The sequence below is a fragment of the Homo sapiens genome, chromosome 5 (assembly GCF_000001405.40).
Source record: "Homo sapiens chromosome 5, GRCh38.p14 Primary Assembly".
In the NCBI taxonomy this organism is placed as follows: Eukaryota; Metazoa; Chordata; class Mammalia; order Primates; family Hominidae; genus Homo; species Homo sapiens.
Window position 1 is genome coordinate 154,207,521 of NC_000005.10, and position 26,363 is coordinate 154,233,883.

Consider the following 26,363-nt stretch of genomic DNA (forward strand, 5'->3'; position numbering starts at 1 on the left):
TTCTTGGTAGCTGTAGGTACAGGGTTCTATGTGAGCACATAGGAGAGCCAGTGGACCCGGACGGGCAGGGCGGGTAAGCAGAAAAGGCTCCCTGAAGGAGGGAATCCTGACCTAAGTCTTTTACGGGGAGTGGGATGGTTTAGCCAGACAGGGAAATGGCTGGGCAGGGGGTGGGTAGTGAAGGGATTCCAGGTAGAGGAGATAGCACAGTCAAAAGTCCAGAGTTGGGAAAACAGCATAGGGTGTGCAGGGTCTCCTAAGCTCATTATTCCTGGCCCCAGGAGTGGGGCTGGGAGAGGCTAAAACACAGTTAGGGCCAGGTCATGAGCTACACTCCATCCTCAGTTCCCAGGAGCGTGAAGGGTGTTGGGCAGAGAAGTTGGGTGACCAGATTTGCTTTCGTATGGGTCCTGGAGTTCAATAGTTGAAAGAGATCGGGAGGCCATGTTGTCAACCACTGTCAGATGTTTGCAACCAGACCAGACAAGGCAGAGGTGCTCCCAGGACAGCTCTCGAGGGGCCAGGGCACTCCAGGCACAGGTCCTGACCTGGAAGGCTCAGCCTGCTGTGTAGCTGGCATTTAGGTCTGCAGTTCTTCATTCAATATGTCATTTATCCAGCAGTTTTTGACTGAACACTGCACATGCCCCAGGCTGGTTCTCTGCTAAGCACTTGACATTCTAAGAGAAAAGGACATGGTCTCGGCCCTTGAGGACCAGGTGGCCCATTAGACAGATAATTCCAGGGCAGTGGGATGCATGCCATAGGTGGAGTGAGCACAGGCCTGAGAGCACAGTGAAGGATTCACGTTAGCCTTCACGCTGGCTTCCTGGCCGCCACCTCTACCTGCCCCTCCCACTCACCTCAGGCTTATAAAGCCATGGATTTGCCTAGGATTGAATCCCAGCTCTGCCCTTTACTAGCTGTGTGACTTCGAGAAATTTCCTTAATCTTTTATTTTCTCTCTCTCATTTCTTACATTTTAAAATGAGCCTGATAATAGTACCTACTTCACAAGTTAGTTATCAGGATTAAAGGAATTCACATACACAAAACACTTGGAATAGTGCCCGGCATTTAAAAAGTGGTACATAGATACCCTTAGGATTACAGGTCTGGAATCTCTTAGCCCAAACCCTGTGTATTAGGCATATTTTAGCATTTAGAATTATTAGTCAAGGTTCAGTCAGGACAGAGAAACCACACAGTGATTTGAACACAGGAAGTTTAATATAAAGAATTATTTACTGTAACAGGAGATTAGAGCGATGAAAATTGGCTATTAAGAAGTGAAAAGCACTCTAAAGAATATAGGAATGGCAGATAGAGGAACAGCTCCTACCCCCAGTGTTGAGTTAACAGCACCCAAGGAAGAGGCCCCCGTAAGCTGAGATCCTGACTTTGTTGGAGAGGGCACAGCTATGCTTACTGAGTGGTAGAGAGTCACTAGAGTGCCACCCCAGCAAAGTTCACAGGAAATCTGCCTGCTAGGGTGCTGGAGGAAGAAACACATGGTGAGGTATCTCATGGAAGACATTCTGCTACAAAACCACCCAAGGGAATGGGTGCTGGGAGAAGCTGTTGGTCGCTGGATGCCGGTGATTGCTGCACACCGCAGGAGCTAGGCAATGGAGAAGCTACGCGTACTGCAGGAGCTAGACATGGAGAGGCCATGCACGCTGCAGGAGGCTAGTGCCAGAGACGCCACCCGTGCTGCCTGCCTACTGAACACACCAGAACCAGGGTGAAAAAAGCCTTTCCTTCTGCAGTGTCTCTCCAGCATCTTCTACTAACCACTGTTAACATCATGTTAGCTGGCAAGGGAAACACGTTTAAGGGCCCAGAACCATTTTTGCATAGCAGGCAGTGAAGGTGGGTTTGGGGCTGAGAGGCAATAAATTAATAACTGACTGTCTCAGTGAGTTTGGGCTGCTGCAACAGAATACTATGGACTGTGTGGCTTAAACAAGAAACATTTATTGCTCACAGTTCTGGAGGCTGGAAATCGAAGATCAGGGTGCCACCATGGTCAGGTTCTTGCGGAGGGCTCTCTTCCTGGTTTATAGACAGTGACTTTCCTGCTGTGTCCTCATGTGGCAGAGAGCAGAAAGAGAGCAAGCACTCATGTCTCTATTTACAAGGGCACTAATCCCATTCACGATGGCTCCACCTTCATGACCTAATTACCTTCCAAAGGCCCCATCTTGTAATACCGTCACCTTGGGGGTTAGGATTTCAACATAGGAGTTTTGGGGTCATGTAACAGTCAGTCTCTAACACTGGCAGAAGAGTCTTTCTGATTTAGGAATGTTAGTAAAGTGCATGTGTTATTATGTAATAGCTCTAGTGGGGTTTACAGTGCTCCCCATAATCAAACACATTTTTTTTTTCTGCCACAAAAATGTATTCACAGTAAGAGAATAAATCAAGACTATAAATAGCCTCATGTCTATTCAAGTCAGGCTTTGTCACTAAATGAGTTATTTTTTTAAAGTTATTTAAAAAGCCTGTTTGGACTTTGGAATTGAGGCTAAGGGATGGTTGACCTGCATCATTTTCATTTCCTCTCTCCATGCAGCAGTCAGAGTTATCTTTTGGAAATGTAAATTATGCCACTGGGAAAGCCTAAGTGGCTTCCTGTTCCAGGATAAAGACTAAACTCCACCCCTGGCCCCCTACCCACACTGTGCCCTCACCCACCTCTGCCCTCCAACGACTCTGATCTCCAACAAGCCATGTGTCCTTCTGCAACAGAGCCTTGGCACATGTCACTCTCATTACATGGAGCACTCTTCCAGTTACCTACCGTGCACACAAGTGCATGCACACAGGCACACATGCACTTGCATGCACACACACATGCATACACACACACACACACACACACACACACAGTTTTGCTTGGCTAATTCTGCCTCACCCTTCTAATGGCAGCTCAGGTGTCCCTATTCCAAGAGAACTTTCTGACCCCCTTCTACCCCAACCCTCAGCCCACTCAGGCATTAAAGCATATGTGTTAGTTTGTGATTATACAGACTTACAATAAGTGTGATTATTTGATTAACATGTCTCTCTATTAAACTGTAAGTGTTATAGGACAGTGGCTGTATCCGTTTTCCCCCCAACTATTTTATTCCCAGTGCTCTACGCAGTGCCTGGCATGTGACATATTTGATGAGTGAAAAAAGGAATAAACCATCTTGGATTAGATCCTGAACCAGAAAAAAATAAATTAGACATAAAGGACATTATTGGAACAACTGGCAAAATTTGAATATGAACTGTAGATTAGATAATAGTATTTTATCAGTGTGAAGTTTCTTGATTTTGTTGTCTGTATTCTTAGAAAATGCACACTGAAGAATTTAGGAATAAAGGGTTATCATGTCTTCAACTTTCTCACAAATGGCTTAGAAAAAAATTGTAGATACAGGTAGATGGGGGAGAGGGAGAGAGAGTGATAAAACAGATGTGGAGAATGATAACAGCCAATGTGGATAAAGGATATACAGGATCCTCTGTACCAGCCTTGCATCTTTCCTATTAGTTTGAAATTATTTTACAATAAAAAGTTTTTTAAAAAATGAATAAAAATGAATAAATGAGGAAAGGGATGCCAGGAGGAGGAGGACCCCTCAGGTATAAAGGCAGGAGGGCAGGAAAGGGCTTGGTCCCTTTGGGGAACTTGCAGGTAGGCTGTGTGGTTGGAGGGTGGCCCTGGGGCTGGGGAGGGAAGAGCAGGGGATGGAGCTGGAGCCCCCACTATGGACTCTCTGGAGGGAGTGCAGTATTGAACTGTTCAGTCAACGTTCATCTACACTTTCCCCTCTCTTTTTCCCTTGGTGATTTTTGACCAAAAGTCTGATTGCATGAAGCCAGTGTGTCTCAGGTCTTCCATCTGATTTCTCTTTTGTCTTAACAATAGAGAAAATCTCATCCGTGTATGCAGGTTACTCCTTCTGCTGTGAAACTGTGACTTTCCTGTTGTCTGCTTGCTGTTAAACTCACCATGCATTTCCCGTTTTGGTTATATAGTGCTGCATAACAAAATGTGGTAGCGTAACACAACAAACATTTGTTATCTTAAAGTTTCTGTGGGTCAGAAATTTGGGCTTAGCTGGGTGGTGGTGGTACAGTGTCTCTCATGAGGTCGCTATCAAGATGTTGGCCAGTCCTGCAGGCATCTAAAGTCTCAACCGGAGCCGGTTAATCTACTTCCAAGATGGCTCACTCCCTTGGCAGCCGGAAGGAGACCGCAGTTCCTCAACACAAGACCTCTTCATGAGTAAGCTTGAGTGTCCCTGAAGCATGGCAGCTCACTTTCCCCAGAGCACACCATCCAAGAGACGGGGAGAGAGCAAGCAGGAAGCCACAGTCCTTCTAGGACCTGGTCTCCAAAGCTATATATCATGATGGACATTTTATCCTATTAGAAGTGAGTCATGAAGTTCAGCCTATGTGCAAAAAAGAATTCAACTCCACTTCTTGGAGGGAGGAATGTGGAAGAAGTTATGGACATTTTAAATCACCATAGTTCCTGAAAGCCTTTTGCTTCTGGAGGGCCAGTGTCTGCCCTCCAGAAGTTTACATCATCTGTTGAAGGAAGTAAGACATGCTCTGAAATTGCTCATAAAAACCAAGATGTCCCATGAGAGATGGCTTGACAGGGTTCTGAGGAAGCAGAAATCAGAATAGATGGTAGCAAAGGAGAGCTCTTGGAAGGAACTGACACTGCCTTCATGGATGAGCAGCTTTCCCCTTGGTTCTTAACCCTGATTATTGATGTTGTCATACAATGGTAATGAATAATAATGATAGCATTTGAACATTTCTACCATGACAGGCACTGCGCCAGGCAGGACTGCCTTGTAGCACATCTATGTGTATAAATAACATCCTTGGAATTGTGCAGTGGGACCATACTGATGCTAAATATTAATACTTCACTTACGTTACTTCATTTAATGCTTTGAACTACCTTGTGGAGTTGCTGTCATCCCCATTTCACATTTTCGTCTGATTTCTCTGTTTGTCTTAACAACAGAGATTAATTCACAGATTACAAACATAAGGCTTAGAAAAAATTAAGTAACTTAAGCACGATGGCACAGCTTGTAAGTGAGTGAGTTACAGCTTGTAAGTGAGTGGTTAAGATCACAGGCTCCAGGCCGGGCATGGTGGCTCATGCCTGTAATCCCAGCACTTTGGGAGGCCGAGGCGGGCAGATCACAAGGTCAGGAGATTGAGACCATCCTGGCTAACAGGGTGAAACCCTGTCTCTACTAAAAATACAAAAAATTAGCCAGGCGTGGTGACAGGTGCCTGTAGTCCCAGCTACTCGGGAGGCTAAGGCAGGGGAATGGCGTGAACCCGGGAGGCGGAGCTTGCAGTGAGCGGAGATCGCGCCACTGCTCTCCAGCCTGGGCGACAGAGTGAGATTCCATCTCAAAAAAAAAAAAAAAAGATCACAGGCTCCAGAGTCAGACCTATGGGTTTAAATTTCAACGCTTCTACTTTAGAGCTTTGAGCAGGTGACTTTAACCTCTCTGTGCCTCAGTTTCCTAATCTGTAATATGCATATAAAACTATTCAATGTTCTCAGCACAGTGCCTGGCATGTGATGAGCATTAGGTGCTATTGCTACTATTATCAGCTCACAGTCAAACACAGCTATGCTCTCCTTGAGTTCTTTGCATTGGTTTGTTATAAAGAGTTGAGATGAGAGAAGTAAGTGGTAACTACAGCTACCACTCTTCATTTGTAGGGATTAAGAATTTGAAAGGAAAAACAACCTCTCCAGGCCGAACATTCCTACAGGTCTTAAATGACACATTCTGGCCATTCCCAGTTTCTCTCTGTTTTATGTCCATGAGGATATCAATGCTTTGAGGGATGCCTGGCCATTCCCCTCTCTGTATAGGCACACATAGTGGCTAAGCTGGGTTTCAGGAAGCTGAACTTGAGTTGACATCTTTCTTTGGAAATGCTTTCCCTCTTGAGGGGCAAGGGACACTGGCTTGGATATAAATCAGGATATCACAGGATATCAGTCATTCAGGATACAAGTCTATGCCGTGGGGTTATTTTTTTTTCCCTTACTGTGTGGCCCAGACTGAAGTGCAGTGATCATAGCTCACTGCACCCTCAAACTCTTGGGCTCAAGTGATCTTCCTGCTTCAACACCCCCGGTTGCTGGGACTATAGGCAGGTGCCACCATGCTGGCTAGTTTTTGTACTTTTTGTAGCGACAGGGATCTTGCTATGTTGCCCAGGCTGGTCTCAAGACTCCTGGCCTCAAGTGATCCTCCTGTCCTGGCCTCCCAAAATGTTAGGATTACAGGCACGAACCATGTGCACAGCCTGTATTGTGTATGCTAGAGCCAATTACTAAATCTTTCTGGGCCCCAAGGGTCTCTTTTGCAAGAAGGACATAGCAACTTCTCCCTTCCAGAGTTCTCCATCAGAAAGAGGATTGAGAGGGTATGTTATAGAAACTGTTCAACTCTAGTGCAAGGTTTTAGGAGTCTTCGTTTCCTTCCAGTTATTTGAGAAATGTGGCTTCTTCAAGCAACTGGAATACTGAAAGCCTTTTTGATGGGAATCACTCCTCCCTAACCACTTCCACCCACACCTTCTTTGGTAAAACATTTTTGAGAAAAATTGGTTTTGATCTGAATTCTGAGGACCAAAACAGCCTCCAAAAATCAAGCACAAAAAAAAAAATCAGCCTCCAAAATAAAAAACCAGGTGGTTCTCCTATTGAAAATTCAAACCTGATAACCAACCAGAGGGACTTATCTTTTAGAATTAATCTTTTTTCCATCTTTAATGAATTGGCATTTGTCTGCTCTGCCGGTTCATTGTGGAATTCAGCCTCATGTTTCATTGTGATCTCAGAAGCAGCGAGCACTCATCACCGGTGGGAATGATAGAGCCTAATTTGGAAAAAGGAGAAAAAAAACCCCAAACCTCCTCCCTTTCATTTCCTCACTTTAGACTAAAATGCTTCCTTTTTTAAACTTAAAAAAGGGACTAATTTTTTTCTTTTCAAAATTGGTTCAGATATGCATGAACCATTTTTTAAAAAATTATTGCACAACTCAGTATATTCATTACACACCGAGGTTATGAGTAAGTCTTCCCTGAATCATCTTGTGGTACAAAGTGACGGGAAGGGATTCAGTCAGCTACCTGTACAGGAGGCTCATTCTGTTTCTCTCCTCCATTTTCTCATTATGAAACTGTACTTTTCAGAAGACAAAAAGGGGAGAAGATAAGGGAAGAGGAGGAGGAAAATGTCAGAGGGAAACCTAGAGCTGTCAGCAATTACTGCTTTCCAACTGCCTAACCTCAGAGCAATTACTTAAACTCAGAGCCCCTGCCCCACTTCTGAAATGGGGATAATAACAGTAATGGCTATGTTGCAGGGCTGTGGCAATGATTAACTGAGAAAATACCCATGGGAAACATGCTTTGTAAATTCCATTATACTATTGTTGGTACTGAGATATGACTGCATATATGTATAACTTGTGTGATTCTTAAAAATTAATTTTAAAAGGGTTGCCTTTATTTTTAGAAACAGAGTTTGAGTTGGAAGGGAACGTTAGGAATCATTCAGTACGACGTGTCACCCTGGAGAGAAGTCCTCTCTATAGTTGCCTTCAAAGGTGTTATCTAGCCTGGGCGCAGTGGCTCACGCCTGTAATCCCAGCACTTTGGGAGGCTGAGGCGGGCGGATCACGAAGTCAAGAGATTGAGACCATCCTAGCTAACACAGTGAAACCCCGTCTCTACTAAAAAATACAAAAAATTAGCCGGGTGTGGTGGTGAGCACCTGTAGTCCCAGTACTTGGGAGGCTGAGGCAGGAGAATGGCGTGAACCCGGGAGGTGGAGCTTGCAGTGAGCCGAGATGGCGCCACTGCACTCTCCAGCCTGGGCGACAGAGCAAGACTCCGTCTCAAAAAACAAAAAACAAAACAAAACAAAAAAGGTGTTATCTAGGTATTGGCTTGAATAGCTCCAGGGATGTGGAGGTCACCACCTCTGTCTTTTCTTCTTTTTCCTAATTATCCCTGCCTTTTAGTTCTTCTAGACCTAAGATATAACAGTGATTTTCCTTCTCCTGAAGATAGACAGCAAAAGAATACTGTCATGGTTAAAAATGAATAAACATGCCACAGCATGCATTGTGAAGATCTGCCATCTGTGTGCATCGCTGCTGCAGGTATGTTAGCCAGTCTCCAAAGTGTTTGAACTACTTGTTCAAGGGGATCTGGTGTTCTCTGTAGCAGAAGCTACTGAGTTATTAGGGGTAAGGCTTCAGCCCTGGGGCAGAAGGAGGACTTGGCAGGGCCCTCTTAGCTCTGAGCATCTGCATACCTTTCTGTTTTTTAGCTGGTGGTTTATCTAGCTTTAGGTATATAAAGATTTATTTGAAAAGGTAGAGTTTGTGGCAGTAATTGTTACCTTCTCTTCTTCTCTCCTCTCTTTCCCCTCTGAAGTGGAGGGGAAACCTGTTTGTTTCATGCCAGCTTCTGCCACTGATGTTTTCACTGCTTTCTGTTCAAGATGTTATGGTGAGGGAGGAGGCAGAGACCAGGGTCAGGAGGATCTTGGAGATCATCCCAGCCAGCACTTTACAAACTGTCTCTGGAAGTTCACATGGATGCTTCAGTGTTTACATTGTTTCAAATTGTTAGCTCTTTTTAAAGTTGTAATAATAATAATATTATTTTTAAAAAATACTGCTATGTGTTATATACTGCATTTTTACGTGTTGAAGGTCACCAGCTTTTTCTTTTAACATCTGTTTAATTGAAGATAATCCTGAGATTATAGGGCAGGCTGTGTTTTTTAAAAAAATGTATCTACTTATTCATCAAATGCATCAACTCTCCATTAAATTAAAAAGATTTTTTTTAGCATTGGGCAACTAAAACCAAACAGAAAACTATACTTTGAGGCAGATGTAAGCTGCAAGCTGTTGTCTCCAATTCCTGAGTTCAGATTATTTGTGTTCATCAGAACAACCTCATTGTCCTCGTTGGTTAATTTTCAGTAAATAAATGTTATTAATTTGAAAATTAGAAATTTGTAATCATAAAATGCACCTCCAAGTCTTACCAATTGAAAGACTTCACTCACTGAAAACCTACCAGCTTCTCAGAGAACATGAAACTGGCATTCCTCAGTTGTTTGGGAATTCCTTCTAGTCCATCATTATTTATTTATTAAATTGTACTCCAGGTGGACTATATAACAAGATCGTATTTGCACAAGAAGGCCTACTTACTGGCAACAACCTTTATATTGTCATGTTCACATCTCAGCAATTGCTTTTTACTTGTGAGTAGACCCTGGCAGCTTTTACTTTTGTAGATTGTGTCAACTTATGAAAAAAAAAATCTCCTCTCCTATCCTCCAGTGTGAGAAATGCTTCCCTCTGCCCAACCCCGGGAAGCACTGCTTTAATTATGAGACCGTTGTTACCTTTTACCTCCTATTCAATTGTTTCCTATGTGCTTAGAGATTTGTTGAGCCATTTGCCCATAAAAATCACTCCAGCAGTTATCGAAAGCCTTGGATGATAAATTAGATCATCCCTCAACCTCTGAGGTCAGGCAGCCCCCACTTCCTTCCTCCTCCTTTCACTAGATCTCTTTTCCACCCTCTCCGTCTGTCTGGGTAGACCTCTCTGACACTACTCCCACCCTTCCCAATTTTTGTGCGCTACAGTGGCTTCCGCCTAAAGCCTTGTTTGCCCTCTGAGAGATGCCCATGGAGCTCCAGGATCTGTGTGTTCCATGACCCCTGGCAGATCACGCTCCTCTTGTGGAAAATGGGAATTTTACATCTCCCTTCCTGCCTTACAGGGTTTGTTGTGAGGGGCAAGGGAGACAGTGAGAGGGTGGTTGGGGGCACTTGAGTGCTGTGGGAATTGGAGGTTCTGCTGCCTCTTCTCTGTGGGGCTGTTATCTGAGCTCTTTCACTCTTTAGTACCGCGTCCCTGTCTCGTCTCAAGAAAGCAGGTAGTGGAAGAGATGGAGAGAGTTCCAGCTTGCCTCCCAGATGAATTAAAATCAATGAAAGTTCCCACATGCACAGAGCCAGATGCATCCCTCTTCCTGTCCACACCCCTGTCACCAAAACAAGTGTGGTGAGGGGCCCCTGCCCTCTCAAGCAGGTCAGCGCAGGCCCTGCAGTAAGGAAGGCCTGAGTTGAATCTTGGTTCTGTCATTTGTAACAGCCATGTGGACCTTCAGGATGATGCCTAGACTTATGCTAAAAATTAATTGGGAGACTGTATGGAGAGGGCTTGTGCCTTGCACATTGTAAGAGCTCAAAAATAGCTATTAATTTTTTGGTGTTTGGAGAGACTGTTGTACTTTCTATAAATAAATTGTACAGTTTAACTCCCTGATTGGACCTGAATAAAAATGTTGGGGTAGGGATAGAAGAAAGGGAATCATTCCATGTGGTTTCTTCCTTCTATTTCTCCTGCCAGCTCGCTTCCCCACCCCAGCCTGGGCACTGCTGTTCGACTGAGACCAGGATTATTCCCACCGCCCAAGAGCAGAGAGGGCTCAGATGCACAGCCTCTGCCTTCGTGGAGTGGGCATTTTCAGGTGGGGATGACATTTTCTAACAAGCCTGGGGCACCTCCTCCCTCCCCACCTCATGGGTCCCTCTCTCATTTTAAAAGCCCTCCCAGGACTTCAAGATGAAACACTTCCACACTGGGCAGAGATTCTCATTGAATTCTCCAGTTCGCTGTCTCCAGTGCTGAGGAGAGACATTTTAATTAATTATAGTCCCATGGGCTCGGGGATCAATAGCAGTGAAGAGCCGTGGAATGAATTCCAGCCTCTGTGCTGTTTCCAGCTCTCCCTGTGACCTTGTACCAGTCGCTCAAGCTCTCTGGGCCTTGGTTTCCTCTTCTCTAGAATGGGAATATTCATTTCACAGGCATAATGAGAATCTTCAAAAAGGTATGGCGATCAAAGTGTTGTAAAATGTAGAGTGCTAACCACAAGTAAGTTATTATTAAGGTGGTATTTATATTCCCAAAGGGTAAGCATGAGTGGTGTTTCTCTTCTGAGCCATTTCTAGAACCTTCTTGCTTTTTGTTAATACGTTAAAACCACCTGGCAGCTTCCATTTTCCTTTCTGAGTCTGAGAAGCAAGCAGCCCAGACAGAATTGGGGGGAGAGGGTGTAGATGGGAAGAAGTTCCTGTTCTGTAAGCCCCAAGTTTCTCCAGCAAGGAAAAGGTAATCATACCTGTGGGACCTGGAATAAGAAGACAGAAGCCTTGGCTTTCCCCGAGAGTCAGTGCTGTTCGCCACACTGGCCACCTCTAGTGCTGAGTCTTTGTTTATTGAAGCCTCTTCTTCTGTTTTCCTGTGTCCTTTTCCCTGCAGTGTATTCTGCACACAGCAACCAGAGTGATCTTTCCAAAACACATCTGGTCATGTCCTTACCCTGCCCAGAGCCCTCCCCCGGCTCCCCTAGACTTTAGGATAAAATCCAGCTTCTTGCTATGGCTGCTCAGGCCCTGCTGCTCCGGCCTCTGACCGCATCTGTAGTCGTAGTCCCCTGCTCTCCCACCTGCTCGCCTTTGGCTCCCAATGTAGCTCATCTACTCCCCGACATGTGCTCTACCTGGGTCCCCAGGCCTTAATGTGCCAGTCTGGGCCTCCCTGGCCAGGTCCTCCACGTGCTTCAGGTGTCTACTGAGACATCATCTCCCCCAGCAAGCCTTCCCTGACCACCCTGCCCTCCTCAGCCTGAGTGGGTTCCTGTGGTGTCCTGTGCTTATGGATGTCTTGGTCCTAACCGTATCCCAGGACAGTCATCCATGTCCTTGGTGGCCTCCCCTCACCTACCCTACAGATGCATGAGCTCCTTTCAGGCTGTGCCTGTGTGACCAGTTTACTGTTCTATCCTCCAGCGTCTAGCACACCTCCTGCCACACAATGCATGCCAAATAATGGATGGAAGAATGGACATGGGCTGTTACCACCAGATTGAAAAACCTGCACATACTAGAATCACCTGGGCACTCTCCCAGCCAACGGCTTCGGCTTCCTGGTGCCACCTTAGTCCTCCAGATTCAGCATTTCTATGGGTGGGCCGGGGAATCTGCATGTTTAACAAGCACACGCCCAGGTGATTATAATGCAAATTTGAGAACCTCTCAGTGATCTTTCCAAGCCCAACGTTTTACAAAACAGATAACTGATCCAGAGACAGTAAGTGAATTCTGTAAGATCTCAAACACTCTCTCGCGCTCTCTCTCTCTCTCTCTCTCTCTCTCACACACACACACACACACACACACACACCACAGAGAGAGAGGGAGAGAGATTTCATTTATGAGATGACATGAACACCCAATGCTTTTCCCACTCCCACAAAGTAGACCTTCAAGAAAACCATGGTAGGCATAGGAGAATTTTTGTCTTTGTTTTAACCTTTGTCCTAAACAGATCTGATCTGGCGAATCTTCACATATTGTTTATTTCCTTTCCATAGGAAGTGCTTAGCCTCCAAGTATGGGCTACTTATTTTTTAACAATTACTTTCACTCCAAGACGTACATAATTTTTTAAACATGGGAATCCCTGATGTTTCATTTTTGTTTTGGAAATGATTTTTAGAGAAGATGAATTATCCTGTCTGATGCCATGAGATCTATTTTTATCATTTGGGATGTTGAGACTAAAACTGACAACATATTTAGTATTGCTTATAGTACTCAGTGACACTGCCTCCCTTTGAAGCCCGCCAGAGAGCCACCATGCAGGAACATGAGTTACTAATTAATTCAACCTGCTCACTGGGACAAAATGGGAAGGAAGAACCCACATTTGACACAGATAAAGTGGAGCATGTTCAAAGCGCCAGGACACCAAGGGATCAGGAAATTATGTCTCAAGGGAAGGGCTGAAGAAACTGCACATTTAGGTTTCCATGGAGGAAACTCAGTGGCTGTAAATGCCAGAAGTGCTGAAATAGGGGTGGGTAGGCTTGCAAGGAAAGTAGACCTGGACCTGAGGGTGGAAGTTACCAGGACAGACCTTCCGCTGGAATATGTGAAAGAACTTCCAAGCAAATGGAATCCTGCAAATAAGCATCCTTAAAAGGGAGTTCCCACAGCAAGAGAAATGTTCAAAGCTGGAGCCATCTGATGGGGCTGTCACAGAATGTCCTGGGTGAGGAGTGGTCTGGACTAGAAGAAGTCCAGGTACCTTTCTGACAGACTCTGGGGTGAACACAAATGGCCACAGGACCAAGCCAGTGACCTGAATGAGTCAGTCATTACTCAGCTCCAGCCAATTGCTTGGGAATGTGGGTCCAGCAAGGCCAGATCCTTCTTCTGATTTTTCAAGAAAAGACAGACTTGTGGATTTTTAAAAATATGGACTGTCCTGAGTTTTAAATATCATGCAGGCCAAATAAAGCCATCTGTGCCTGCAGGGTCTTGATTGTGACCTGCCAGTTTGACCCCTCTGTTCCAGGATTCTCAGGGTTATGTGCACTTTTGTCCTTCACAAGTAAGATAAATGAAATAGGTAGGGATTTTCCTCCTATTCAACAGATGGGCAAGTCAGGACACCGGGAGGTTAAGGGACTTCTAGATAGACGCACTCTTATAATATAAGGTAATGTTATAACAGACAAGGGCTAGAATCAGGGTACGTGGGTGAATAGGTAGTTATGTCCCTCGGCTGCTCCACTGACATTTCATTTTTTAGCTCTTCTCTTAAAATAATATTTGCTGAAGGGAGCACTGGGAAGGCCCCATCCTTCCTATATGACTGGAGCAGGGAATTCTGCCTCCCAGGGGCTCTGGGGTGAGGGGTATCCTCCCTGCACCGCTCCGGGGGTTAGGGTGCCCCTGAGTTGTGCCTTACTGAGTCTGCACATCCTGCACAGAGCTCCTGCCTGGAGCCATTCTAAAACTCAGCCGCTCCTATTCCCCAAGGATCTGTGTCTTTAGGCCTCCAGCCATGCCTGAAATTTCACCATTATAAGCCTGCTTTTGGGTGAAGGCTTCACAGGCACCCAGGAATCACTTTCACAGTGAACACAGGAAAAGGAAAAAAAACCACAGGAATGCAACCTGACATCTCTCTCAGGCTCTAAGTATTGGACTGCCAGGACTTGGGTACTGAAGAAATTAGTTTTGCCACGAAGGCAACCTCAAAAAGCCAGTCATCTTCAAGCCACATTTACAGCACTCCGCAGTGCGACTTGAGGCCTGTCTGCCTAGCTTCCTGCTTCTTGGCCTTCCTGCCACTCTTTATGCTGACACCGCGCTTACAGTAGCAGCTTTCAGACCAACTTGAGGCCTTGCTTACTTTGCCAGTGGACTGCCTGCTTGTTTTTTAAAGGATTTTTTTTTTAAGTATTGGTACTTTTTTTTCCGTGAAGCTTAGTTGAAGTATATTTGAATTACAATAAACTGCACATTTTAAAAGTGTGCAACTTGATCAATTTTAACATATATATAAACCTGTGAAGCCATCATCACAGTCAAGAGAATGAACCTTTCTATCACCTCCAAAAGGTTCTTTGTGCCCCTTTGTTACCCATTCCTCTCTGTGTCCCCTAATAACCACCTGCCTGCTTTTTGTCTTTCTGGATGAGTTTACATTTTCTAGAAATTTGTATTGAAGGAATAATATAGTATGTGTTCCTTTTTGCCTGTTTTTTTTTTTTTTACTCAGCATGATGCTTTTTGACATTCATCCATGTTCTTGTGTGTATCAACAGTGCATTCTTTATTGCTGAGTAGTAGACCATTACATGGATAGACTAATTCATTTATTCATTTACCTGTTGATGGACATTTGGATTGTTTCTAGCTTTGGGTTATTACAAATAAAGCTGTTATAAACATTTGTATACAAGTCTTTGTGTATATATATGTTTTTGTTTTTCTTGGGTAAATACTTAGGAATGGAATGGCTGGATTGTATGGTATATATATATCTTTCTAAGAAACTGCCAAATTGTTTTCCAAAGTGGCTGTATCATGTTGCATTCCCACCATCAGTGTATAAGAGTCTGGCTGCTCCGCATCCTCACCAACACTTAGAATGGTCAGTCTTTAATTTTAGCCATTCTGGTAGATGTGAAGAAGTGACATCTTAATGTCTCACATGAAATTTACATTCTGCCATGAAGAGCATCTCTTCATGTGTTTATTGGCCGTTTTATGTCTTTTGTGAAGTATCTGTTAAAATCTTTTGCCATTTTTTAATTGGATTGTCTTGTTGAGTTTTAAGAATGTTTTATGTATTCTGCCTACAAGTCTTTTGTCTAATATATGTTTTGTGAATATATTCTCCCAATCTGTGGCTTGCCTTTTTGTTTTCCTAATAAGGTATCAGTATCATCTGGCAAAATCTAGAGCATATGGGGTTTCCAGGGATAAGTAAGACATTGAAATTTAACAAATGTAGTAAACCTTAAGAATCCCGTGGAACCTGAATGTGGTACCAACATGAATATTTATCATATTAACTCTGAGTTTGGATATTATTTTGCATAATTTGAGAAAAACACTGTGTAGGGCACCGTACTAGGTGCTAGAAGAGATGGAAGGAAAGGTACAGACATAATCAGACATGGACACTGTTCTCAGGATGCCCTCATCTGTGGAGGGAGAGGCGTAAGGCATGCATTCTAATACTAATCATTATTGCATGCGTGATCTGCTTTATTGGCTTGATAATCCTCAGAACAACCCTCTGAGGTAGATTGTCTTAATTTGGCAGATGTGGAAACAGGCTTAGAGAAGTTAAGTCACTTCCCCAGTTCGTACAGCTAGGACATGGGGGACCTGGATTCAATCCCAATACTGTCTGACTTTGAAGGCCCCATTCTTAACCTTTGGGCTAAATTGCCTCTCTAGTATAAGGTAGACTGTATTAAGGAACTATAAGCAAGTTATAAACAGAGCATTGTAGAGCAAGAAGTGAACATTTATTTTTGGCTCTGTGCCAGAAAGCACCATGAAGGGGTTAGCATTTGAGCTAGGCCTTGAAGGATGTACTTAACCTTGGCAACAAAGATGACAGAAAGGGAATAACAATTGGAGGGAGCAGGCCGGGTGCAGTGGCTCACACCTGTAATCCCAGCACTGTGGGAGGCTGAGGCGGGTGGATCACCTGAGGTTAGGAATTTGACACCAGCCTGGCCAACATGGTGAAACCTCATCTCTACTAAAAATACACAGATTAACTGGGCGTGGTGGTGCAGGCCTGTCATCCCAGCTACTCAGGAGGCTGAGGCAGGAGGATCACCAGATCCTAGGAGGTGGAGGTTGCAGTGAGCTGAGATCGCGTCACTGCACTCCAGCCTGGGTGACAGAGCAAGACCCTGTCTCAAAAAAAAAAACTAAAAAACTAAACAACAACAGCAGAACAATTGGAGGGAGCAGCATAAGTAATGATGCAGAGGTGGGAATGGTCCTGGGATCTGTTGACTATAGCCTCATTTTCCTTAAGGGGAACAGAGAGAAAAGGCGATTAAAATCTATTCTCAAAAGTCCTTGAAATTTGGGCTTAGAAGTTTGAATTTGATTCCAGAGGCAATAGTGATCCACTGAAGCATTTGAGCAGCGGGGAGGGGAAGTATTATAGAAGGTTGTGTGTCCTAGAAGGACAAGGAAGTAGAGGAGGTACAGAGAACCGTTGGGGATCTTGTGGTCCCCACTGTAAGTGTTGGGGCCCCCAGCTAGGTCATTAGCCACAGAAATGGACAAGAAAGGATAAATACATAATCCAAAAGTAGTAGCCACCTTCCCCATTCATCATTCTTATTCTATCAATTCTTCTATAATCTGGGACTAATTTGACCCAGTCTCTTGCTTCCTCCTTCTTCCTCGTCCATCTGTATTTTGCATACTTCATTGCTCTCAGACGTAACAAGGGAGAAGAGAGAAACTCAATTTGTCCAGCTTGTAATTTGTTAGCTAATTCTGATAAATGAGGTGGTTCCTGGAAAAGGCAGAAACTTTTGGCTAAAATGAAGTTTTATACTATTTGTACATTTATTTATTCATTCATTAAGCTAACCAGATTCATTCATTTACCATTCATTCATCCAAACATTTATTCATTCTATAAACAGTCATTTGATATTTATGGAGTATCTAATATGTTAATATGTGCCAGACATTGTGGTAGATACTGAAGATACAGTGGACAACAGAACACAGTCTCTGTCTACAAGAAGCTCACTTCTTTTTTTTTTTTTTTTTTTTGAGATGGAGTCTCGCTCTGTCTCCCAGGTTAGAGTGCAGTGGCAGGATCTCGGCTCGCTGCAACCTCCACTTCCCGGGTTCAAGTGATTCTCCTGCCTCAGCCTCCTGGGTAGCTAGGACTACAGGTGTGCACCACCATGCCTGGCTAATTTTTTGTATTTTTAGTAGAGATGGGCTTTCACCATTTTGGCCAGGCTGGTCCTGAACTCCTGACCTCAAGCAGTCCACCCACCTCAGCCTCCCAAAGTGCTGGCATTACAGGCGTGAGCCACCACACCTGGCCTTTTTGGGGTTTTTTTGTTTGTTTTTTTTTAGACAGAGTCTTGCTCTGTCACCCAGGCTGGAGTGTAGTGGCGCAATCTCGGCTCACCACAAGCTCCGCCTCTTGGGTTCACGCCATTCTCCTGCCTCAGCCTCCCAAGTAGCTGGGACTACAGGCACCCGCCACCATGCCCGGCTAATTTTTTGTATTTTTAGTAGAGATGGGATTTCACCCTGTTAGCCAGAATCGTCTCGATCTCCTGACCTCGTGATCCGCCCACCTCGGCCTCCCAAAGTGCTGGGGATTACAGGCGTGAGCCACTGCGCCCGGCCTTTTTTTTTTTTTTTAAAGGCAGGGTCTCACTCTGTCGCCCAGGCTGGAGTGCAGTGGAATGATCATGGCTCACTGCAGCCTTGACCTCCTGGGCTCAAGTAGTCCTCCCAACTCAGCCTCCTGAGTAGCTGGGACTACGGGCATGTGCCACCACACTTGGCTAATTTTTTTTTTTATTATTTTTATCTTTTGTTGAGATGAGGTCTCACTGTGTTGCCCAGGTTGGTCTTGAATTCCTGAGCTCAAGCGATCCTCCCACCTCGGATTCCCAAAGTGTTAGGATTACAGGTGTGAGCCACTATGCCCAGCCAAAGTTCACATTTTAATGGAGGATTCGTTCTGCCATCTTCTTTTGGATTTTCTTTTTGTCTTACCTTTCTATGTTCCTTTTCCTCTGCTTTCTTTCCTTTGGATTTTTTTCTCATTTTACTTTTTCCCTCTCATCTGCTAAAAGAGTTTCGTATTATTTCTCTACTTTGAATAGTTAACCAAGAAATTTAACATGCCATTGTTTTCACTCATAGGTGGGAATTGAACAATGAGAACACTTGGACACAGGAAGGGGAACATCACACACCGGGGCCTGTTGTGGGGTAGGGGAAGGGGGGAGGGATAGCATTAGGAGATATACCTAATGTTAAATGACGAGTTAATGGGTGCAGCACACCAACATGGCACATGTATATATATGTAACAGACCTGCGTATTGTGCACATGTACCATAAAACTTAAAGTATAATAAAAAAAGGAAAAAAAAAAGAAATTTAACATGCATTCTTGAATCTAAAATTAATTAATTTTTTATAGCTAATACAGGGAACTTAGCATATCAGCTTTGATCACCATACTTTGACCTATATATGCTATGGTTGTCATGTATTTTAGTTATATTTTTTAATTTCCTAAGACTATAGTATTACTGTTTTCTACAGACCTTCCAAGGGGAATCACATTCCTTCTGCCTGAAGCTTATTCTTTTAAATTTCCTTCAGCAAGGGCTCTTGATAGCAAACTCTCCATGTTTGCTTGGGAATATCTTTATTTCTCTCCTGTTCTTGCTGGGTATATGATTCTAGTTGACAGTGTTTACTCTCAGTATATTCAATATATTATTCTACTGCATTCTGGTTTCCATTATAGCTGCTGAGAAGTCAGGGGTCATCTAATGATTATTGCTTTAAATGACATCTGTCTTTTATCCAGCTACTTTTAAGATGTTATCTCTGTTTTCAGTGTTCTGTACTTTCACCATAATGTAGATTTTTAAAAATAGCTTTACTGCCATATAAATGACATAAATTAAACTGCGTGTTTAAAGTATTCAATTTTGTAAGTTTTCACATATCTATACACCCATGAAAACATCACCACCTCAAGAAAATGACTATATCCATCATCCCCTAGAATTTCCTCGTGTCCCTTTGCATTTGTAACCTCTCCCTCCTGTCCCTCCTGCACCTCCTCTAATCCCAGGCAACCACTGCCCTCTATCACCATAGATTAGTTTGTATTTTCTAGAGTTTTATACAAATGGAATCATACGGTATGTACTCTTTAAAAAAAAAAAAACTTCCTTTTTTCAGTGACCATGATTATTTTGAGATTCATTCATGTAGCATGTATCAATAGTTTGTTCCCTTTTTATTGGGAAATAATATTCCTTTGTGTGGTTATACCATGGTTTACTTTTCCATTTACCTGTTGATGGACATGTGGGTTGTTTCTAGTTTTGTGCTATTACAAAGTTACCGTGAAATTCATGTACAAGTCTTTCTGTGACCATATGCTTTTATTTCTCTTGGGTAAATACCCAGGAGTAGAATGGCTGGATTATGTGTATATTTAACTGTGGTGGCACCATTTTACATTCCCAGCAGCAGTATATGAGAATTTCAGTTTCCCCACATCCTCACCAACACTTAGTATGATCAGTCTTTTAAATTTTAGCCTTTCTAATATGTATGTGGTGATATCTTAACGTGGTTTTAATCTTAATGTGTTCTCTAATGAACAATGATACTGAGCATCTTTTTGCATGCTTATTTCCCTCTGTACATCTTTTTTTTGTTATGTGTCTGTTAATACCTTTGACCATTTGAAAAATTTGGTTGTTGGTTTCTTATTACTGAATTTTGAGAGTCCTTTATATTCTATATACAAGTATTTTATCAGAGATATGTTTCTGCAGTATTTTTTTCCCAGCCTCTGGCTTGTCTTTTATTCTTTTAATAGTGTCCTTTGAAGAGCAGAAGTTGTAACTTTTGATGCAGTTTGATTGATCAATTTGTTCTTTTATGTATTATGCTTTTGGTGTTGTATCTAAGATGTCTTTGCCTAACCATAAGTCCCAAGGTTTTTTTTTTTCCCTTATGTTTTCTCCTAGATGTTTTATGATTTTAGACTTTACATTTAGATTTGTGATCCATTTTGAGTTAATTTTTGTATGTGGTTGATATAGTTTGGATATCTGTCTCCACTGAAATCTCATGTTGAACTGTAATCCCCAGTGCTGGAGGTGGGGCTTGGTGGGAGGTGTTTGGATCATGGAGGTGGATCCCTCATGGCTTGGTGCTGTCTTCATGATAGTGAGTTCTTGCAAGATCTGGTTGTTTAAAACTGTGTGGCACCTCCCCTCCCAGCCATTTTCTCTCGCTCCTACATTCTCCATGTGATGTGCCTGCTCCTACTTCACCTTCCACCATGATTGTAAGCTTCCTGAGGCCTCCCTAGAAGCCAAACAGATGCTGGCACCATGCTTCCTGTAAAGCCTTCAGAACCGTGAGCCAATTAAACCTCTTCTCTTTATAAATTACCCAGTCTCAAGTATGTCTTTATAGCAATGCAAGAATGGCCTACCACAGTGGTATAAAGTATGGATCAAAGTTCTTGTTTTTCTACTGATACTCAGTTGTTCTGGTATCATTGGTTGAGTAGACTATCATTTCTCCAGTAATTCCTTTTGCATCTTTGTCAAAAATTAGTTGCCCATATATGCATATGTATATGAACTCATATTTCTTGGAAACTTCTCTGGGGATCCTTCGAGGGCTAGGTAAAGGCGGGCTCCTCCAGTAAAGATTGGCATTTGCTTCTGCCATGTGCCTAATAAAATCACTTTACATTAAATTTTCAGTTTGAAGTTTGTCAGATCTCCCAGGTACTCTGATTATGGACCAAAAACCTGTACGAGAGCTGGCATAGTAACAAATTCTCAAGAGAGATTCCTTCCCATCCCATTTACTCTTTGCCAGAATTGGGGGGTTTATTTCTCACTCACAGTAAGGATGGCGGGAGTCCCAATTGTATGTGGGTGGTGGTATAGAGTGAACTGCCAAACTCCCACCTTGCGTGGACTCTGGGCTTTGTTCTCTGTGTCCTGTGTTCTAAGAGGATGTGCAAATCCACATTCAAGTTAACCTGGTTTAGTAAACGCCCTCAAAATGAAAGCCAGTTTCAGTTCTCCACTTAACTCTGGGTTCTCATTTTCATTTGGTTTTTGGTTTCTGATTATTTCTTACTTTCTTGCAAGTTTGTCCATGCGTTTTAAAAATGTGATTTTGCTTTTGCTTTTAATTCTGCCTTTTTCATTGTTTTCACCTAGTGGGTTGGCCAGGGTATTCTACCATACTGCTGGAAATGGAGGTTGGGTCTTGGTCTTTTTATATTGTTAGGAATGTTTCTTCTCTGGTAACGTGGGATTGATTGCATTTTTGTTAGTTTTTGTTTCCATTTCTTTTGGTAAGCACTAGAGAACCAGAGGAGGAAGGTACTTACTTTTCCTATATTGGTCGTCTGTACATTGTGGTATTATCACCACCTAATGAACTCCTGGGCTTTACATCTTTCCCTCTTACTAAATCATCTGTGCCAAATGAGTTGAAGTTTTATTTTAGTGTGATTAAAATTCCTGCACTACACCACATCTAGAGTTAATTTCTTATCTACTTGCATAGTATGCTCTACCTCTCTTTTAGATTATTTAGTATAATTAAAACAATATGATTATTTGTATGACTATTGATTTTAATCTTCCCTGCAAAGATTGTAAGTTCCTGCCGGACGTGGTGGCTCATGCCTGTAATCCCAGCACTTTGGGAGGCTGAGGCAGGTGGATCACGAGGTCAGGAGATCGAGACCATCTTGGCTAACATGGTGAAACCCCATCTCTACTAAAAATACAAAAAAAAAAATTCGCCGGGCATGGTGGCGGGTGCCTGTAGTCCCAGCTACTTGGGAGGCTGAGGCAGGAGAGTGGCGTGAACCCAGGAGGCGCACCTTGCGGTGAGCCGAGAATGCGCCACTGTACTCCAGCCTGGGCGACAGAGTGAGACTCCATCTCAAAAAAAAAAAAGAATCTAAGTTCCATGCAATCACGGACCAGGACAGTCTTACTCCTTCCGTAGTATCCCTACTTTCTGGCACAGTCCCTGGCATATAAAGAGCATTTGATAAACAAAGTGAATGAATGAATGAATAACAGGGTTTGTCAGGATACATTGAGGAAGCAGACATCTGTGATAACTTTGTTTGGTCCAACAGCCATCTGTGGAGCCCCTACTCTGTGTCAGTCTCCATGCTGGGCACCTTTGGAAAATGCAGAGATGAGTAAAACACAAGTCTCACTCTCAAGGGATCTTCAGTCCAGTGGGAAAAAGGCAGTGTTCCCATTACTGGAATTTCCATATTCAAATAATAAATTTTTTGTTTTGTGAATAGACTTGTGTTGAGGTAGAACCTCACTGTTGATCAGCTATCCAGGTTTTAAATACTATAATCCTGTGTACGCAAAGCTTTATGTCCCTGAAACAGTCTCAGGTAGGTACCTTATGTGATGCTCAAACTCCTATGTCAAACCTCTCTTCAGTCCAGTTGACTATCAAGTGCCTCTCTACGCCCAGAAGTGTATCAAGTCATTTGGGGAATACTAAGTTTAAAAGAAAACCTAAGTTCCTGTCCCCAAGGGGTTTACTAGTTACGGAGTGTGGAGATTGTGGGCAGCAACCACTGGGCCTGCCTGTAGAAGCCCTAAGTGGACACAAGTAGAAAATTCCTGGGCCCTGCAGCACAGGGCACAGATAAGGGGACACTGCCCCTTGGTATGCAGCAAGACTTTCAAGGCCCCAAATCTGCACCATAGGCTTCTGTGTCTGGCTTATGAGTAGCAGCTTTATGGTCTTAGAAGTTGTTTTCTAGGTCTGATGGGACTAGAGAGATAACAGGTAACAAGCCCACAGTTCTGTGCTTCTGAGACTTGTGAGCCTCTCTTGCATAGGACCACCTACATCCCTGGGCTCAAGATGTGCCTCTGAGAAGACACAAGTCAGATAGGAGCTGTATGTGCCCACAGCATCCTTTCCTCCTGTGCACTTCCTCTGCACCACTTACTAGCAGCTTCTGGAGTAAACCAAAGGTCAGTGACCCTGAACCTAATCCAGGTCACAGTTCTTATTCTTTCTGGAATCCAGGCCAGTCCTGGGGTCTGACCTAGACCAGGAAGAGCAGATGTACCATTTGGTAAATAAAAGAAAGTCAAGCTTATTTGACGTTTTTTGTTCATGTGACTTCACAGAGATGGCAAGGCATACACCAGACAAGGCGGGTCCCTGCAGCTTCTGAGGACGCCACGAACCAGCTTTGTGAACGTTGGCTGCCTGGCCTTCCTAGGCCTCCTTGTCCTTATATATAGATGAGAGAAATAGGCTAGAGCTGTGATTCTTTTCCTGTGGTTCACAGACCTGTTTCTGTGGCTAAAATTTTTACCAGTCCAAGGGAAAATGAGGAGAGAGTGGTGAGTTTTTCAGAAAGCTGTGTGTTACTGATCCTGAGTGGACATCTTTCCAAGTTGGTATAATGCATCCTCTTATTTTATAAAATGGTAGTAATAGCAGACGGTAGGTTGTTTGCCTTCTTGGTTGGTTTGAATGTATATACTGCACAGAACACAAAGCTGATAACATCGTCTCTTCCCAACACCACTTTTTTGGGAAAATCTTTTCAAGCCCATTGAATTCAGAAGTCAGAAATGCCAGGTTAGATGACTTCGAAATTGGACAACCTCAAGTTTTCCTGATGTATGGGTTATGAGAGGGTGGGAGACACTTTTCTGTTCTTATTAGCTGTGAAGTTGGGTTTTGGTTTATTTTTGATTTTATTTTTTACCATGCTCAAACCCCTGTCTCAGCCCTCTTTTTAGTCCTGTTAACTATCAAGTGCCTCTCTCTGCCCAGGGGTATATCAAGTCATTTGGGGAATACTACGTTTGAATTAGAGTGAACCCCAGTCTCCTGTGGGGGTAATGAGGCCATTGTGGGACAACATCTTGGTCTCTTATCTCAAGGCCATACATGTTTGTAGGTCATGAGTTTGGCATGAGCTTAATTGCTGGCACATCTCTACCTCTATGTGCCTTTGTAGCTCTCTGGGATACAGAAAAGTCCTTTGATACTTACGTACTTGTCTTTGTTGGTAATCCAGAAACCCAGGTTTTGGGGCCCATCAGCTTTTCTGCACAGGATCCTGCATACAGTCCAGTTGTGGATTAGCCTCAGCCCAAAGAGCCTGTTAAGTCACATGTCCTCACTGTATATCAGCTCAAAGAAATGCTGCAGGCATGGATGGCCCTCTGCCCTCCGGGGGGAGAGAGCCAGGAGCTCAGCAAACTACCAAACAGTGACCTATGAGAACCTTTAAGGCAGTGGGAATAAACTAAAGGAAAGATATTATAAGCAGATTTTTATAGAAAGTAAGTTGAAAGCCACCCCACAGGCCCACCTCTACCTCTTAGTGCTGTGTGGCTCCAGGCAAGCCACTTAACCTCTCTAGGTCTTTTCTTTTATTTTCATCCTTAATAAAAACAGAATGCTGTTATCTGTCCTTTTAGTTGCTTATTGTAAGGTTAATTGGCTATTATATGTGCTTTGGTTATTATGAGTAAGATACTGTGAGCTTGATAATGGTCAAATGCAAATAGGATTCATTTACTTATTCAATACACTTGTGGCTAATGCCTGCTATGTGCCAGGCATCTTTCTGTGTAGTGGTGAGAAAACCATATATAGCCTTCAGGAAGCTTACATTCCAGTGGGGTGGTGGGGGAACAGACAATAAACAAGCAAACAAATAAATAAAACAGTGATAATAGGTGCTATGAAGGAAACAAATAGGCTGGCATAAGGGTCAGGGGAGGAGGTTAGAAAAGGTTTCTCTTAAGATATGAGGGTCAGGTTGTGATCCAAAGCCAGGAAGAAGCCTGGGGAAGAATGTCCAGCCAGCAGGCTCAGCAAGTACAGGGGTCATGAGGCTGCAAAGGGCTGTCTTGCTTGAAGACGAGAAAGAGTGCAGTGTGGCAGGAGCATCGTGACAAGTAACAGACATGTGGTCAATTTCAAAAAGTGTTGAGTAGCTACAACTTGTTTTCATGCATTTCTTCCTATTTTTCAAGCTTATTTGTCTTTGGGAACAAAATTAATTTATAGATATGTTCTGGATATTAAAATCATTCTTTAAAATATCTTTAGAATATGGAAGGGAGAATTACTCTAGAGTAGTTAACAGAGTATATATGGCCTGTAGAGTCAGTTAGCCCCAGGTTCACATCAGCTATGCCACTTACAAGGTCGCTGATCTTGGACAAGTTACTCAGCCTTTCTGGGCCTCAGTTTCCTTATCTGTAAAATGGGGATAATAATCTCTGAGCTCCATTCTTCAGAAGATTGTTATAAAAAAATTTTAACAAAATGATAAATATGAAAATGGTTGGGATGCTTAAAGGACATTGTTAATGGGAAAGAGAATGTCTTGACTCCAGGTTGGTTCTTTGCATCCTGGGCCTGCTTGGCTGTTGGTAATGGGGTACTCTCAGATAAGATTTTCTGTAGCGGGGTTGTATCAATGTTAACTTGCAGGTGGGAAGCCTGTTCTAGGGCTTGTCCTTTGAGTGCGGCAGAAATGGTATTACAAGGAAATAAATGAATAATAAATGAAGGGCTCCAAAGTCAGGCTGCACCTGCAAGATTTCTGTGTGTGGGAAACTCAGCAAAAAGAAAATGGTCTCATTGTGCTGTCTCTGCAAGGAAAAGTGGGCTTCTGCAGGCAGCACTGTGTTATGAACAAAGGCTCTGGCTTCTGAAAAGAGACCAAGGTGAGGCACCAAGGGGTGGAGGCCTTGTTCTGGGGTGCCCAACAGGTTAGTGGTGGCACTGGGATGAGATTCTTCAGAGCACCCCCCACCAGCCGCCCACCATGGTCTCTGTACCCCAGCCCTCTGCTCTTGGCATTCTGAAACAGTTATTCCACAGCACATGGTTGTCGAGTGGCTGCCATGTTTGTGATACTGTGCTAGGCCCTGAGGATACAGGGTAGACAGGGCCGCCTTCATAGCACCTACAGTCTTGCTGGGAGACTGTAATGGCAGGAAGGTGACAGAAGTGCTTTTGGTGGGCAGGTAGAGGATGTCGTGGGTTAGAATTGCTGTGGGTAGCTTCTTGGACA

General features: G+C 43.5%; 1 protein-coding gene and 1 long non-coding RNA gene across 2 annotated transcripts in view, besides 2 other annotated features; both read left to right on the forward strand.

The window, feature by feature from the left end:
• The window catches only part of GALNT10 (polypeptide N-acetylgalactosaminyltransferase 10), a 230,252-nt gene that overhangs the window by 16,788 nt on the left and 187,101 nt on the right, over positions 1-26,363 (forward strand). The window lies entirely within an intron of this gene.
• LOC107986465 (uncharacterized) lies at positions 10,636-14,913 on the forward strand. The gene is made up of 2 exons (XR_001742939.1): positions 10,636-12,171; positions 12,538-14,913. It is a non-coding gene; the product is annotated as an uncharacterized LOC107986465 (long non-coding RNA).
• Positions 11,272-11,778: an enhancer, noted in NCBI's record as "H3K27ac-H3K4me1 hESC enhancer chr5:153598352-153598858 (GRCh37/hg19 assembly coordinates)". NCBI's record gives its function as "activates a minimal SCP1, AML or CMV promoter by ChIP-STARR-seq in naive and primed H9 embryonic stem cells {active_cell/tissue: H9 hESC(naive and primed)}" and the evidence as "EXISTENCE:reporter gene assay evidence [ECO:0000049][PMID:30033119]".
• Positions 11,779-12,283: an enhancer, noted in NCBI's record as "H3K27ac-H3K4me1 hESC enhancer chr5:153598859-153599363 (GRCh37/hg19 assembly coordinates)". NCBI's record gives its function as "activates a minimal SCP1, AML or CMV promoter by ChIP-STARR-seq in naive and primed H9 embryonic stem cells {active_cell/tissue: H9 hESC(naive and primed)}" and the evidence as "EXISTENCE:reporter gene assay evidence [ECO:0000049][PMID:30033119]".